Raw genomic sequence first — 17,570 nt, 5'->3', positions numbered from 1 at the left:
TTAATGATGGGGATACATTCTGAGAAATACGTCATTTGGTGATTTTGCCATTGTGAGAACAACATAGAGTGTATTCTGTGTGATAAAATACACATAACATTAAATTTACCATCTTGATCATTTTTTTTTTTTTTTTTTTTTTTTTTTTTTTTGAGACGGAGTCTCGCTCTGTAGCCCAGGCTGGAGTGCAGTGGCGGGATCTCGGCTCACTGCAAGCTCCGCCTCCCGGGTTCACGCCATTCTCCTGCCTCAGCCTCCCAAGTAGCTGGGACTACAGGCGCCCGCCACTACGCCCGGCTAATTTTTTGTATTTTTAGTAGAGACGGGGTTTCACCGTTTTAGCCGGGATGGTCTCGATCTCCTGACCTCGTGATCCGCCCGCCTCGGCCTCCCAAAGTGCTGGGATTACAGGCGTGAGCCACCGCGCCCGGCCGATCATTTTTAAGTGTACAGTTCAGTGGTATTAAACACATTCATAATATTGTGCAACCATCACCACCATCTATCTCCATAATTTTTTATTTGTCCTTTTGTAACTGGCTTACTTAGCATAATGTCCTCAAGAATCATCCATGTCGTAGCCTTTGTCAGAATTCCAGAATTACATTACAGTACTTGCCTAGTAAGGGAGTTGCTGCTGCTGACCCCAGAACCAGCTACATCTGCTGAGGCTAGGCAACTTTTGCTGCCAAAACAAACCCCAGAACATACTGCCTTTGCTGCTACCCATGCCAGCAAAAATGGACACCAGCGACACAAGTCACCCAACAGAGCCCTTTGTTGGTGTATATAATTAGTGGAACCTTAGTAGTGTATAAAATTAGTCACATACCCCATTCCAGTAGCAGGGGAGGCTGGGATTTCTTTTCCCCCTCAAATTCTACCTTGGAAAGGTAGGATTCATGATGTGGGGGATTATAAAAATGTGGATGGTGTTCAAAATATTTTGGACAGTCGTAAATGACAGATAGATATTCATTATATAGTGCCTGTCTCTTTGCATTCACTTTCTACATCCCTCCAAAGTCACCAAAATTCTGGCTAATTTGTGTCATAAATAGCTCAGGCATCTATTCACTTTCCCTATCCTCCCGGGCATTTCTTTAGTGTAAGTCACTCCATGGGGATGGGAAATAAAAGGTAGATAAGGGAAGGAGAAGAGAGATGCCTTGAAATTTGTGGGTTCTCTATAAATACTGTCAAATTAAAATTTAATTGTACGTAGTGCCAAAGGCAGAAAGAAATCTTAATTTTCTCCAAGGTAACAATATACTGTTCTTTTTAACTGAAACAAAACTCCCTGGATCTCTCTCTCTCTCTCTCTCTTTTTTTTTTTTTTTCTTCAGACAAGGAAGGCTCTGTTGCCCAGGCTGGAGTGCAGTGGCACCATCACAGCTTGACCTCCCTGGCTCAAGGTATCCTCCCACCTCAGTCTCCCAAGTAGCTGAGACTACATATACACACCACTACACCTGGCTAGTTTTATTTTATTTTATTTATTTTTATTTTTATGGAGACAGGGCCACCATGCCTGGCTACTTTAATTTTTTTTTTTTTTTTTTTTTTTTGGTAGATACAGGGTCTCACTCTGTTGCTCAGGCTGGTCTCCAGCTCCTGGGCTCAAGTGATCCTACCATCTTGGCCTCTCAAAGTGCTGGGATTACAGGTGTGAGATCTTGATTTTTACTTATGAACACATGCAAGCACTCTGTATGTGTTGGGTGGTGTACACTCTCGGGACAGGGAAGTTAGAGTTTCAATTGTGGCCATGGCTTCTTTACTCTTTCTGTGATCTTGAGCAGTCCCACAACTCTTAGAACTTAATTCATTATAGAAGTGTTGGAGAATTTCTGTGAGATAATCAGGCATAAATTTTTAAAGCATTAATATTGCTGAGATGTCCAAATGACTACATAAATTATGATCCACCTACACGCTAAACTGCTATGTAGCCATTAAAAAGAATGACGCTGCTCTAAATATACTAATATGAAACAGTTTCCAAGATATCCTGAGTGAAGAAAAGACAGTATAGAACAATGTATATAGTATGCTACCATTTTTGTATGTGTGCATGCCTTCACATATGTGTGCTTTTAAGGGATATAGGCATATTTAAGCTCGTAAATTCATAGACCATCTTTGTAAAGGTACACAAAGAACTGGCAATAGTGGTTGCCTTCAGAGAAGAGAACTTGAAGAGAACCTCCCTACTGGAGGCAGGGATGGTGGAAGGGGTGGGGGATGGAGAGAGTGGAGATTGAGCTTTTGAATTCTGTTCCATGTGCATATATTATAAATTCAAAAAAAGATATAGTTTATTTTTTAAGAACCTGGAATTAAGTCCTATCTATGAAAGCTGAAGAGATCAAAGTGAGAGGTAATTTAATTTGAAGCCCAGGTACAGCAGAAGTTTGGGGCTTCTGTGTTACTCATGCTTATCCACACCTTTATTTTTTCTTTTTCTAAAGCATCTGGGTCTTTAGTTCAAATATTTGCAGATCCATGGTTTACTGGGTAGAATTTTTGTTGTGGCATACATCAACATATTCCAAGTTTCTCTGCTTGGATGGAATAGATGCATGAAATTCTGTGAAATGATTAAGCTGTGAAAAGTAGAAGGACTTTGAATAGGCATTATTTTTCAAGATCTTAGAAATAGTTATGCCTGATAGTTTTATAATGTCTGTAGCGTATTTTGCAGTCCACAGAACGCACTCACATACATTATCAGCTGATCCGTCGCAAAGAAGCCTCATGTGATTCTTTCTATTCTCAGCTTTGTCCATGAACTAAAATTAGAACTAGGCTGACATTACATTTCACTTGGTTACAGCTGACTGGGGATTTTAATCATTTGGAGCCACACTGAAAAAAAAATTTCCCCCTGCAATCTACTCTTAACTGATAGTCGCTAACTTTGGTTATGTGTGGTAAGTATTTGACAATGGTAAGTATTTTTCAAAAACATTTTTCCTTTCTTCTTCACATGTAAATAGATTGCTGCTGATACCTATACTGTGTCTGTATTGGTTGGAATGTCCAAACAAACTGGAATAGAATTTAAAAGTTTTTTTGCGGGGTGTTCATGGTCACTCATATAATTGTGCTCCTCTGGAAGATAGATTTCCCCAGAAGTAAGAAACAATTCTTCTGCAATTCTTTTCTATGCTTACCTCACTTGTCACATTATGTGCTTTTTTTCTATTATGGTACTAATCAGAGTAGAGAGCAGTCCTGTGCTGGAGGAAGAAATATATCATTATTGACTTGTGTTTCCCTAGGGGAAGTTGGTTGTTATAGGAAAACTGATGGATGAGCAACATTTAATGGCAAATGAGGAAATGAATTAGCAAATGGATGAATTGTTTTACATGTCTTCTAAAATACATGTATACATGTAGATACTTGGGAATTCAAAAATATTTTTATTCGAGTATTTAGCAAAAACTTCAAACTTTCTTAAATTAGAGACAATAAATTGTAAATTGGTTGCAATATGCTCAGGAAGTTGGATTACCAGTGTATGTATCCCAAGGTTTCTTCACAGCAAAGAGATCTCGCATTCTGTTCCTGAGTAAATTCGGCATGCCTTGCTTAGAGATTCTCTCAACAATTTCCTGCCTATGCCAATTATTTATCAATCTTGAAATTTTAAACTTTTTTCTGTAATATAGTTCTCCTCTTTCTTTGACTGTCTCACACACATATATACTGCATAATATTAGTTTAAAAAATCAATAATTTAGAAGAGGTTAATAATGAAAAGCAATATTATCTATCCGATTCCTCTCTATCACCAGTCCTGCTCCCTAGAAGTAATCATTTTAACCATTTTGGAATTTAGTTTTCAGTGGTTATCTCCATATTTCTCTCTTTTTTTTCTTTTTCAAAGACAATTGCATGCTATTTTTAATCAACTTTAAACATCTGTGGAGCTTCATTATGAGAGGTGGGGATTAAGTTCCCTTACACTGCCATAGAGTTATATCCCTATTTTTAGCTTCTCTCTTGATTACCTTAATAACTTTAAGCAAATACTTTAATCTTTATTTCTTGTTCCATAAGGTACAGACAGTATCTGTTGATTCCCCACTTCGAAGATGTGGATATCGGTGTTCTTATCATTTACTTCTTTTCCTTATTTCCTTCTTCCATATTCTGTTAAAAGTACTGTCACTTTTATGTTTTCAAGATATATGGCATTTATATTCTGTTCTGTAACCCTCAATAAGTCTTCCTTACTTTTTTATAGATTGATTTATTTCAAAAGTTTAAGACCAATACATAGACTTTACTATGTAATTTCTGTTTTCTGCAGAGCCAACATTTCCTTCTCAGTATCAATGTCATATTCATTGTACTAAAGAAGAATGTTAAAATAGATTCTCCTTTCCTGCACTTCAATAAATGCTAAAAAATCATGCCACATTTTGTTGGCTCTATATATGGACTGTGGCTTTCTTGTACAGTGTCTTCCTCAACACAATTTCTGACTGCCTTTCTTTTTGCTTATTGGGAGAAGAAATTTCATCTTTTCACCATATCTCCAATGTCACACAGTTTTTTCCCCCTTAATTCTAGCTATTTTTATAATTCAATGGATGAATACTGCCATTCCTTTTTTTTGTTTGTTTTTGAGACAGAGTTTCATTCTTGTTGTCTGGTCTGTAGTGCAATGGTGCAATCTCAGCTCACTGCAACCTCTGCCTCCCGGGTTCAAGTGATTCTCCTGCCTCAGCCTCCCAAGTAGCTGGGATTACAGGCATGTGCCACCACGCCTGGCTAATTTTATGTTTTTTTAGTAGAGACGGGGTTTCACCATGTTGGTCAGGCTGGTCTTGAACTCCTGACCTCAAGCGATCCACCAGCCTCCCAAACTGCTGGGATTACAGGCGTGAGCCACCATGTCCAGCTATTGCTTTTAAAACATTGTTTTACTTTATTTTTAATTTTTTTACTATCATGTAAAACATTGCTGGGAACAGTCTTGTTCATGTTTCCTGGTGGAGACACACCCTTCCTCTAGGTACATACCTTTGAATGGAATTGCTGGATCATAAGCTGTGCTTATCTTCAATATTAGTACATAAGTATTTCAAAATAGTTAATACTAATTTACAATTTCACCAATATACCAGGAGTCCATGAGGATTTCTGTAACTCAAATTCTCACCAACACTTGGTATAATCAGCCTTTTGAATTTTAGCCATTCTGACAGATGTTCATTGGTATCTTATTATGTTTTTATTAAGGTGGAGCACAACTTCATTTGTTTTTGGTCATTTGGATTTTTTTTTCTCCACAGGGAAAGTTCTACCATTTGGATTTTATTTTTTGAAAATTTCCTGTTCAATTGTATTTTCTGTTGCCTTTTTCAGCTGATTTTAAGGAGTTCGTTATATATTCTAGATGTAATCCATTGGTGGTTATATATATTGCCAATATCTTCCCCCACTAATGTACATGGTATTCCTTTTATTTTCTAAGTGATGTCTTTCAATAGGTTCTTAATTGTAATGTAGTCCACTTTATCAATCTGTGTTAGGCTGTTCTTGCATTGCTATAAAGAAATAACTGGCCAGGCACAGCAGCTCATGTTTGTGATCCTAGCACTTCTGGAGGCCAATGCAGGAGGATCACTTGAGCCCAGGAGTTCAAGACCAGCCTGGAGAATGTGGAGACATCCTGTCACTACCAAAAAAAAAAAAAAAAAACTGGCACACTGGTTCTTGCTGTAGTCCCAGCTATTCTGAAGGCTGAGGCAGAGGGGGCCCAGGAGATCAAGGCTACTATAAGCCATGATTGTGCCACTACACTCCAGCCTTGGTGGCAGAGTAAGCCTGTCTCAAAAAAACAAAAAACAAACAAACAAAAAACCACAAAACAAAGAAATACCTGAAACTGGGTAAATTACAAAGAAAAGAGGTTTAACTGGCTCACGGTTCTGCAGGCTTTACAGGAAGCATGGTGCTGGCATCTGCTTCTCAGGGAGCTTTCAATCATGGTGGAAGGCAAAGGGGGAAGCCTGCGTCCCGCAAGGCCAGAACAGGAGCAAAAGAGGGAGCAGGGGGAGGTGCCACAAACTTAAAGAACCAGATCTCCCAAGAACTCACTGTTTCAAGGACAGCACCACGCCATGAGGGATCCTCCTCCATGATCCAATCACCTCCTACCTAGCCAACACCTCCAACGTTGGGGATTACAGTTCAACATGAGATTTGGTGGGAACATATATTCAAACTATATTGTGATATAGTATATCTTTTCCTTTATGGATATGCTTTGTATTCTGTTTTAAAAAGTGTTCTCTACTTTAAGGACATCAAGATAAGTCCTATATTGTCACCTAAATGCTTTATTTTTTCTACTTTCACTTTTAGATCTACAATTCACATGGAATTAATTTTGGTAATACATAGATATTCAACTGTCCCAATATAATTTCTCTTAAAAAATTATTCCCATGGCCAGGTGTGGTGGCTCACACCTGTAGTCCCAGCACTTTGGGAGGCCAAGGCAGGCAGATCACTTGAGCCCAGGAGTTCAAGATCAGCCTGGGCAACATGGTAAAACCCCATCTCTACAGAAAAATACATAAATTAGCCAGGTGTGGTGGTGTGCACCTGTAGTCCCAGCTACTTGGGAGGCTGAGGTGGGAGGATGGCTTGAACCCAGGAGGTGGAGGTTGCAGTGAGCCAAGATCATGCCACTGCTCTCCAGCCTGGGCAACAGAACCAGACCCTGTCTAAAAAAAAAAAAAAATTTCCACAATGTTCTGCAGTGCCTATGTGTATATGAGTCTGTTTCTGGGGTTCCTTATTCAGGTACACTGGTATGTTTTTCTATTGCACCAATAACATTATCTAGTACCATAGCTTTAAAAGAGATCTTGATGAATGCAAAATAAATCCTCCCACTCTAGTTTTCTTTGGCAAGAGTGTCTGGGCTATTTTGTATCCTTAGAATTGTCATTAAAAATTAGAAACTGATTGTCAGGTTGCTCCTCTCCTTCTCCAAATGAATTTTGTATTGAGATTGATTATAGTTCAATGTGGGGATAATTGACATTTTTACAGATTGAGTCTTTCTATCAATGAATATGATGTATATCTCTTCATTTATTTAGGCCTTCTTTAATTTCACTCTAATTTTTAGTTTTCTGTATAGAAGTTTTACATATTCTGTTCATTGTTAAGAATTTGATTTTTATGCTATTGAAAATAGTATATTTTTCAGAACTTAATATATATTTTCCGCTGGAATATAGACACATAATTGATTTTTCAAAATATTGACTTGTCAGAAGTCTTGCTAAATTCTATATATTTAGTTGTAAATTCTCCTGGATTTTCTAGTTCATAATTGTACTCATGAAAAATGTCCTTTTGTTTTTTATTCCTTTTCAAACTTTAAGCCTTTTATTTCTTTTTCTTGCTTTTATGCAATGGGTAGAGCCATGATACAGTATTGAATGGAAGTAGTGAGAGCAGACATCTTTTACTAATTTTAAATGAAAGGCTTTCAATGTTACACTATCAAGTATGATTGCTGCAGGTTTTTATTAGACATACTTGGTTAGGTTAAATAAATTATCTTCTACTTAGAGTATGTTAAGACTTGTTTTTAATCACGATATTAAATTTTAATAATTTTCTACATCTATTGGAATGATCATATTTTCTTTCTCTTCTAGTCTATTCAGAATATTACATTAATTGATTTCTCAAACAAAGGTAAGCAAACAAATCTTAATCTCTGGAATAAACCCAATATGGCTGTAATGTATTTTCTTTTTTTTGTTTTGTTTTGTTTTGTTTTTTTTTTGAGACAGAGTCTGGCTCTGTCGCCCAGGCTGGAGTGCAGTGCCACCATCTCAGCTCACTGCAACCTCCGCCTCTTGGGTTCAAGCGATTCTCCTGCTTCAGCCTCCCAAGTAGCTGGGATTACAGGTGCATGCCACCACACCTGGCTAATTTTTGTATTTTTTATTTTTATTTATTTTATTTTTATTTTTTTTGGAGACAGATTCTCGCTGTGTCACCCAGGCTGGCGTGCAGTGGCATGATCTTGGCTCACTGCAACCTCCTAATTTTTTTTTTTTTTTGAGACAGAGTCTCGCTCTGTCACCCAGGATGGAGTGCAGTGGCATGATCTCAGCTCACTGCAAGCTCTACTTCCCAGGTTCACGCCATTCTCCTGCCTCAGCCTCCCAAGTAGCTGGGACTACAGGCGCCTGCCACCACGCCCGGCTAATTTTTTGTATTTTTAGTAGAGACAGGGTTTCACCATGTTAGCCAGGATGGTCTTGATCTCCTGACTTCGTGATCCCCCCGCCTCGGCCTCCCAAAGTGCTGGGACTACAGGTATGAGCCACCGCGCCTGGCCACAATTTTTTGGTATTTTAGTAGAGACGGGGTTTCACTGTGTTGCCTAGGCTGGTCTCGAACTCCTGAGTTCATGCAATCTGCCCACCTCGGCCTCCCAAAGTGCTAGGATTACAGGCATGAGCCACCACGCCTGGCCTTTTTTGTATTTTTTTAGTAGAGACGGGGTTTCACCATGTTGTCCAGGCTGGTCTTGAACACCTGACCTCAAGTGATCTGCCCGCCTCGGCCTCCCAAAGTGCTGGAATTACATGCATGAGCCAGTGCGCCTGGCCAGTATTTTCTTTTTCCTATATTGCCAGATATGGTTTGCCAGTATATGGTTTAGGACTTTTCTCTGTTAATATATTTGTTAGTGAGATTAGTCTGTATTTTTCTTTCTAGAATTACCATTCTTGGGGTTTGGTATCAAGCATATGCTAATCTCATAATCTGAATTGGGGAGTATTTCTTTTCTATTCTCAGGAAGAGTTCATTCTATGATTAGTGTTATTTTTTACCCCTCAAATGCTTGGTAGAATTTTCCACTGAAGTCATCTCTGGGACCAGCATTTTGTTTGTGGAGAGATTTTAGATTATTATTATTGTATTCTATTGTGTCATTTTAAAATTTTATACATGTGTGTGTTTATCTATAATATTCCCTTTCTTCTGTTTTCTTTGTGTTTGTTTTATCTAGCTTCTTGAGATGGATGTAAATTTTTTAGCCTCATTTCTTCTAAAATGTATACTTAAGACTAGAAATTTCCCTCTACTACATTACCTATATTCCATACACTTTGATTTGTGGTATTTTTGTTAATTCAGTTCAAAATGCCTTCTAATTTCATGATGATAGCTTCTTTGACTACAGGTTATTTAGAAGTGTGTTTCATGGATGGGTGCAGTAGCTCAAGCCTGTAATCTCAGCACTTTGGGAGGCTGAGGTGGGAGCATCATTTGAGCCCAGGAGTTTGAGACCAGCCCAGGCAACATAGCAAGACCCCTGTCTTTACAAAAAAAAAAAAAAACAAGCCAGGCATGGTTGTACACATCTGTAGTCCCAGCTACTTGGAAGGCTGAAGCAGGAGAATTACTTAAGTCCTGGAGTTTGAGGCTGCAGTGAGCCGAGATCACGCCTCTGCACTCCAGCCTATGGGACAGAACGAGACCATGTCTCAAAAAAAAAAAAAAAAAGAAGAAAGAAAAAAAAAAGTGTGTTTCTTTAGCTGAAATAATATAGGCTTTTTTTCCAGGTATCTTTTCATTATTGATTTCTAGCAAGTTTATATTTTGATTAGAATAAAAACTTCATGCTACTTTAATCCCTTGAAATTGACTGAGACTTGCTCTATGACCCCAATATGAGATTTTTTTTCTGTGACTCTTCCATGTGTTTTTTAAAGCATTATGTATTCTGTCATTGTAGGATATAGTTCTTTATTTATCATTTAAGTAAGTTTATTCATTGTGTGGTTCAAATTTTCAGTATTCTTCCTAAGTTTTAAACTGCTTGTGCAACCAATTGCTAAAAGAATTGTTAAAATATCCCACTTCAGTTCTGGATTCCTTGATTTTTCCCTTTAGTTCTGTCAATTTTCCTTTGTATATTTGGAAGCCATGTTATTAGAGGCATGTAGTTTAAAGTTGTTTTATATTTCTTGTGGATTAAATCTCTTATTATGATATGATTGATCTTTTATATCTGTAAAGTATTTGTGCCTAAAGTCCATTTTGTCTGCTATTAATATATTGATACTAGCCTTCTTTTGCTTAGTGTTTGCATAGTATATCTTCCTCAGTTCTCAAAAAATTTAATTGATTAGCCAGACATGGTGGCACATGCCTATACTTCCAGCTACCTGAGAGGCTGAGGCAGGAGGATCACTTGAGCCCAGAGGTCAAGGCTGCAGAGAGTCATATCCCGCCACTATATTGTAGCCTGGGTGATAGAGTGAGACCCTGTCTCAAAAGAGCAAAGAAAGAAAGAAGAAAGGGATGGAGGGAGGGAAGGAGGAAGGAAGAAACGAAAGAAATAAAGATATAAAAAAGAAAGAAAAAATTAATTGAAATATAATTCATATATAAATTCTCTCTTTTAGTGTACAGCTCAGTAGTTTTATTCAAGAGTTGTACAATCATTATCACTAATTCTAGAACATTTTCATCACTCAAAAAACTGTACAGTTAGCAGTCACTCCCTATTTCCCCCTCTACAAATCCCCTGGGTACCACAAAGCTACTTTTTGAATCTACAGATTTGCCTATTCTGGACATTTCATATAAATGAGATCATATATGTGGTCTTTTGTGTCTGACTTCTTTCACTTAGCATAATTTTATTCAAGGTTTATTTATACTGTGGCATGTATCTATACTTCATTCATTTTTATGGCCAAATAACATTCCATTGTATGGATATACCACATCTTGTTTATCCATTCATCAGTAGATGGCCATTTGTGTTGTTGCCACTTTTTAGCTATTATGAATACTGTTTCTATCAACATTCATGTGCAGGATTTTGTGAGAACATATGTTTTCATTTCTGTTTCTATATACTTAGGAGTGGATCTTTTCCTGTTCTTGTACTGTCCACTTTTCTCTACCTTTATTTTTTAGGTGTGCCTCTCATAAACAACACTCAGGATTTTGTCTTTTCTTTAACTGGACAACCTTTGTATATTAACTTGGAACACTTAATCATCAGGGAAGTACAAATTATGACCACCCTGGGATATGGCTTTATGCAGTAATGGATGTATATCAACGGGGACCCTTATACAGTGGTAGTAAGAGTATAAATGGGCACAATCAATTTGGAAAACAATTTGGCTCTGACTTATAAATTGGAACATTTACATACACTATGATCCAGCAATTCTAATTCTAGATATGTACCCAGTAGAAATAATTCCACTGGAACACCAAGAAGATAAAAACATTAATTTTAGAAACATTATTGCTTATAATAGCAAAGCTCTGGGACCCAAATATTCACATTCATTAGAATGGATAAACTGTGGGATAGTTATATATTTTGGAGATCATGGCATATGAATATATAAGATACCTTTCTTTTCTTTTTTTTGAGCTATATAATTTCCCATGATATGGGTAGACTATAGTTTACCGATGAAATATTAGGTTGTTTACAATATTTTGCTGTTATGAAAAACACTGCGAATAACTTCAAAAATATTTGAGGGATAAATTGCTAGTGTGGATGAGCATTAGTGAGTTTAGTAAGTATTACCAAGTTTCTCTCCATACAGAATATAATAATACCACCATTGATGAAGGAAAGTGTCTGTTTCCCTATGTTGTTGCAAATTTTATTGCTTTCTTTTCCAACTACATTACTTTCTATTTACTTTACTTCCTTTATGGTTTTCCTATAATGTTGAATAGAAGTGATTGTGAATGTCTTTGCATTCCTGAATTTGAAAGGAAATAATTCAAATAATTGTGAATCAAATTATTTTATTATTACTAATTTGATCAAAAATCAGTACGATTATTTTAAGGCCATAGGATATTCCATAAAATGTACCTACCATAATTTACATAACCATTTTCCTATTATTGAGTATTTTCCTTTCATTTCTGAGATTCAGGTCAAAATCCTTAATACTGCGTCATCCATTTGCAATTTATTTTACACAAAAGGAAACAATCCCAATATATTATCACTTAACTGAATTTCTACTTGTGCATATGGTGTCCTGATTAGATTGATATCTCAAGATTCCAGTCTTTTTAAAAATCTCCATTATTTAACCATTTTCCTATAATTGGACATGAAGACTAGTTGCAGTTTTTCATTATTATGAAATACACAGTAACAAAGGAATCATATATTAGATATGAGACCCCCAAGAAAATTGTTCACCTTCTTTAAAGCTTAATTTTCTCATCTATACATTAGTCAATAAAAGTACCTATATTATAGTATTTTATGAGAGTTTTTAAATATGATATGGCATGTAAAGTATATAAAATAGTTTTTGGAGCATGGAATGTGTTCTATAAATATTAGCTATTATGATCATTATGGTACTCAATGAACAGTCTGAAACATTGCTTTTTTTCTCTGGTACATTTAGGTCCTTTCTGAAATGGTATCTATGATTCAGCTATTCAAAACCTAATGAAGTTGGTGACTATGACAATGTGGAGAAATCATGACAGAAAATGTGGTTTGTACTGGGGCTGTCAATGCTGTAAAGGAAGTTTGGGAAAAAAGAATAAAGAAACTCAATGAAGACCTGAAGCGAGAGAAGGAATTTCAACACAAGTATGCTAAAACATATTTATTATTTTGAATTAGTGAAAATTCATATTATCATCACCATAAAAAAGAGCATTCTAAATGCCTTGTTATTGAATTTGATATAGAATTTTATTTACTGAAAACTCAAAATATACTTAAAGAAAACAGCTGACTCAATTAAATTTGTCTATGCGATAGGAGTCACAAAAAATACAAATGTGAAAATGGTAGCTATCTTATACCCTCATAGGACTCTGTTTAACATTCATCAAAGTTTGATTAGTATCATATAGTCTAATTTTCAGGATTGTATGTTCAGCATTATATGCCCTAGGACCTAAAACAACATTTGACAGTAGAAGGTACAGTAGATTCTCATTTATTTGAATAGCCATGTGTTCTAGCCAGAGCTGCTGGATCACTTGATTCCTTGATCTGGGCTATATTTATTTGACTCTCATTTCCTCTGCCTCCATTTTATCTTACCTACTTTCCTGATTGGATGTCACCAAAAAGTATTCTACTAATCCTGCAAAAATAGTCCCTTTCCTCATAGATGCATATAGTTCCATACAATTCTCATTCATTGTCTCTTTCTATCATTATTATTATTATTATTATTATTATTATTATTATTATTATTATTATTTTTGAAATGGAGACTCACTCTGTCGCCCAGGCTGGAGTGCAATGGCATGATCTCAGCTCACTGCAACCTCCGCCTCCCAGATTCAAGTGATTCTCCCTGCCTCAGCCTTCCAAGTAGCTAGGATTACAGGCGCATGCCACCACACTCAGCTAATTTTTGTATTCTTAGTAGAGACAGGGTTTCACCATGTTGGCCAGGCTGGTCTTGAACTCCTGACCTCAGGTGATCCACCCACCTTGGCCTCCTAAAGTGCTGGGATTACAGGCATGAGCCACCATGCCAGGCCATTGCCTCTTTCTAAACATTAAATTAGCAAATGTTATTTGCCGATGTCAGTTAGCAAATAACAAAAAATTCAACTAAAGATGGTTTAGGCGATAGGGAAGTGAGGCTGTTCTGAAGATAGTCAATGCAAAGCCTCAACATCTTTTAAAAGTCAGCTTTTTTTTTTAATCACCTTCCACTGTTAATCCCTGTGTCAGTCTGATCCTCGGATTAGCTTCCTTCAGTGTTACAAGATGACTGATGCACTTCCAGGCATCACAGCCAATGATCATTATGTTTTCAGAAAAGTGGAAACTATTTTTTTCTATTTCTTCTTTAAGAGTAAAGAAATCTTTCACAGAGGGTCCCTAACAAACCTCTCCTTCACTTCTCATTGGCCAGAATTGGATCATTTGTACACATCTAACCCAGTTACCTTCTAGGGGAATGAGACTGATTGGTTTAGATAAATTAAGATTCATCCCTGGTGTATTAGTCTGTTTTCATGCTGCTGATAAAGACATACCTGAGACTGGGTAATTTATAAAGGAAAGAGGCTTAATTGACTCACAGTTCCACATGGCTGGGGAGGCCTCACAATCATGGTGGAAGATGAAGGAAGAGCAAACGGACATCTTACATGGCAGCTGGCAAAGAGAGAATGAGAACCAAGTGAAAGGGGAAACCTCTTATAAAACCATTGTCTTGGTGATTAACATGTGGCTCCTCATTACTTATACAAATTTCTGCAGCCAGCTTGAATTTCTCCTCAGAAAATGGGTTTTTCTTTTCTATCACATCCTCAGGCTGCAAATTTTCTGAATTTTTATGCTCTGTTTCCCTTTTAAAACTGAGTGCTTTTAACAGCACCCAAGTCACCTCTTGAATGCTTCGCTGCTTAGAAATGTCTTCCCTCAGATACCCTAAATCATCTTCTTCAAGTTCAACGTTCCACAGATCTCTAGGGCAGGGGCAAAATGCTGCCATTCTCTTTGCTAAAACATAGCAAGAGTGACCTTTACTCCAGTTCCCAACAAGTTCCTCATCTCCATCTGCGATCACCTCAGCCTGGATTTCATTGTCCATATCATTATCAGCATTTTGGTCAAAGCCATTGAACAAGTCTCTAGGAAGTTCCAAACTTTCCCACATTTTCTTTTCTTCTTCTGAGCCATCCAGCTGTTCCAACCTCTGCCTGTTATCCAGTTCCAAAGTCACTTCCACATTTTTGGGTATCTTTACAGCAGTGCCCCACTCTATCGGTACCAATTTACTATTTTAGTCCGTTTTCACACTGCTGATAAAGACATACCTGAGACTGGGTAATTTATAAAGAAAAGAGGTTTAATTGACTCACAGTTCCACATGGCTGGGGAGGCCTCACAATCATGGTGGAAGCCAAAGGAAGAGCAAAGGGACATCTTACATGACAGTCAGCAAAGAGAGAATGAGAACCAAATGAAAGGGGAATCCTCAGCCAGACATGGTGGCTCACGCCTGTAATCCCAGCTACATGGGAGCCTGAGGCAGGAGAATTGCTTGAACCCAGGAAGCAGAGGTTGCAGTAAGCCAAGATTGCACCATTGCACTCCAGCCTGGGCAACAAGAGTGAAATTCCATCTCAAAAAAAAAAAAAAAAAAGAAAGGGGAAACCTCTCATAAAACCATCAGATCTTGGGAGAGAGAATGAGAACAGTATAAGGGAAACTGCCCCCATGATTCAATTGTCTCCCACTGGGACCCTCCCACAACACGTGGGAATTATGGAAGCCACAATTCAAGATGAGATTTGGGTGGGGACATAGCAAAACCATATCACCTGGATTACTTGGTAAACACTTGGACTTGGAAGCAATTGATATTCTTCCAGTAAACGAGGGTGGGGGGCAAGAAGCTACTGATAAGCAATGATTTGTGTTGCTAAATATCTGTAAAAACAAAAGATCTTGACAGGGAGGAATAATTTTTCCCACTTAGTTTTTAGTAAGTGTGCAGACATAGCAAGATTCCTGTTCAAAGTGGATTCTGCAAGGACAGAGAGGGAAGCCCAAGGTCAATCCTGGTCAAGCAGAGGATGTGGAGCCTGGCTAAAGTTTTGATAAAAGGGATCTTTGTCATTAATTAAGAATCACTTAATTTCAGAAATTTCAGAAGTTCTCTATATAGGAATAATGAGTGTGCAGTCTTGCCCTTTCTTACTGCTTGTTCTTTTTTGGCATCATCTATTTTATGATTAGGGAGGAGGATTCTCTGTTAGCAAAATGTAATTTCCAAAAGTTAAGTTAGACCAAAATCAGCTTCTACTTTTAGAAACATTACATGGAATTTGTGTAATGTAGTTTTTCAAAGCACCTTTCCCTTAATCTTAAAACAATTACATTGTAAAATCATTGTACAGTATTATAAAGCTTGGATTGTGGTTAAAATTAAGTATAAACTACTTTAAAAGTAAATTATATAGAGATCAAAGGTTAGGTTTAAAACCTGTAATATGACTAAATAAATAATTTTCCAGGTATGCTGGCTTGTGCCTGTAATCCCAGCACTTTGGCAGGCTGAGGTAGGAGGATTTCTTGAGCCCAACGAGCTTGAGACCAGACTGGGCAACATAGCGAGACCCCATCTCTAAAACAAAAAGTTAGCTGGGCGTGGTGGCATGCACCTGTAGTCCCCGTTACTTGGGAGGCAGAGGGGTGAGGCGGGAGGATCAATTGTGCCCTGGAGGTCAAGGCTGCAGTAAGTTACAATCACACCCACTGCACACCAGCCTGGGTGTCAGAGCAAGACACTGTCTCATTTAAAAAAAAAAGAAAAAAATTAATAAATAAACAATCATAACTGACGCAAAATGGTAAGAATCTGAGAGACCTTTTAAAGTGAGACAGAGAAGCTGATTACCAGAGAAAAGGCTAACTGGAAAATTCATAGAAATTTAAAACCAACCAAAGGTAACCCAAAGAAATGTCCTTACTTTTTTACTCTGCTCTGAAATAGACCAGTGTTTCTCAAACTTGTCTGCGTAGGAATCCCATAGGGATCTTATTTAAAATAGCTTCTGGGTTAGTAAGTCTGGAGTAGGACCAAGAGTCTGGATCTCTAACAAGCTCCCAGGAGACAATGATGCTGCTGTTCTGCAAATCACACTGAGTGGCAAGGAAGTAGACAAAAGAAGCAGATTTGAAAGGGGTCAGTACACAGGCAAGGGGTAAGAAGGGTAAGAATGTAATCTAATGCTGCTTCGTTCAGCTAAATTGGCTAGAGCTTTAGCTAAAAAATGAAAGAAAAAAAGCCTACAGTTTAAACAGAAATTGTGTTTTCTCCCTTTTGATGCCAAGCTCCTTGAAAAAATCAAGTACTTAGGTAACGATTGGTGTGGCAATATCAGAAAAAGGCCTTATTCTACAATAAAATTTGTAGAATCAAATTTTATTTTGTTTTTTTAGAGACAGAGTCTCACTCTGTCACCCAGGCTGGAGTGTATTGGCGCAATCTTGGCTCACTGCAACCTCTGCCTCCTGGGTTCAAGTGATTCTCCTGCCTCAGCCTCCTGAGTAGCTGGGATTACAGGCCCACAACACCATACCCAGCTAATTTTTGTATTTTTAGTGGAGACAGGGTTTTATCATGTTGGCCAGGCTGGTCTCAAACTCCTAACCTCAAGTGATCCATCTGCTTTAGCCTCACAAATTGTTAGGATTACAAGCGTGAGCCACCACGCCCGGCCTCAAAAGGGTTTTAGAAGAGTTATAAAATTTCGATTAGAGACCTGAAAGAATATCAAGATTAAAATAAGCAGCTTCACACCTGTAATCCCAGTGCTTTGGGAGGCTGAGGCAGGAGGATTGCTTGAGCTTAGGAGTTCGAGACCAGACTGGGCAACATGGAGACAGCCTTTCTCAATTTTTTTTTTTTTTTTTTTAGAAAAAGCTGTATAGGAATTATAGAATATTTAAGCTGGAAAATACATAGATATCATTTAATTATAACCTCACATTTTATAGGTAAGGCCCACAGATG

General features: G+C 37.6%; 1 protein-coding gene across 5 annotated transcripts in view; it reads left to right on the top strand.

The window, feature by feature from the left end:
* Nucleotides 1-1,400: 1,400 nt before the first annotated feature.
* Nucleotides 1,401-17,570, top strand: part of LRRC39 (leucine rich repeat containing 39) — a 31,220-nt gene continuing 15,050 nt past the window's right edge. For 2 of the 5 annotated variants that reach the window (NM_001256386.2, NM_001256385.2), the window contains exons 1-3: nt 2,812-2,950; nt 7,698-7,737; nt 12,474-12,664. In NM_001256386.2, coding sequence (NP_001243315.1) covers nt 12,552-12,664 — 113 coding nt within the window. In that variant the 5' untranslated portion in view covers nt 2,812-2,950; nt 7,698-7,737; nt 12,474-12,551. Of the gene's footprint in view, nt 1,416-2,811; nt 2,951-7,697; nt 7,738-12,473; nt 12,665-17,570 lie in introns of those variants that run through there. The other 3 variants (XM_047445522.1, NM_144620.4, NM_001256387.2) reach the window with 3 other exon arrangements.

Source organism: Homo sapiens, chromosome 1 (genome assembly GCF_000001405.40).
Source record: "Homo sapiens chromosome 1, GRCh38.p14 Primary Assembly".
Lineage (NCBI taxonomy): Eukaryota > Metazoa > Chordata > Mammalia > Primates > Hominidae > Homo > Homo sapiens.
This window is presented reverse-complemented; position numbering and strand designations above follow the sequence as displayed.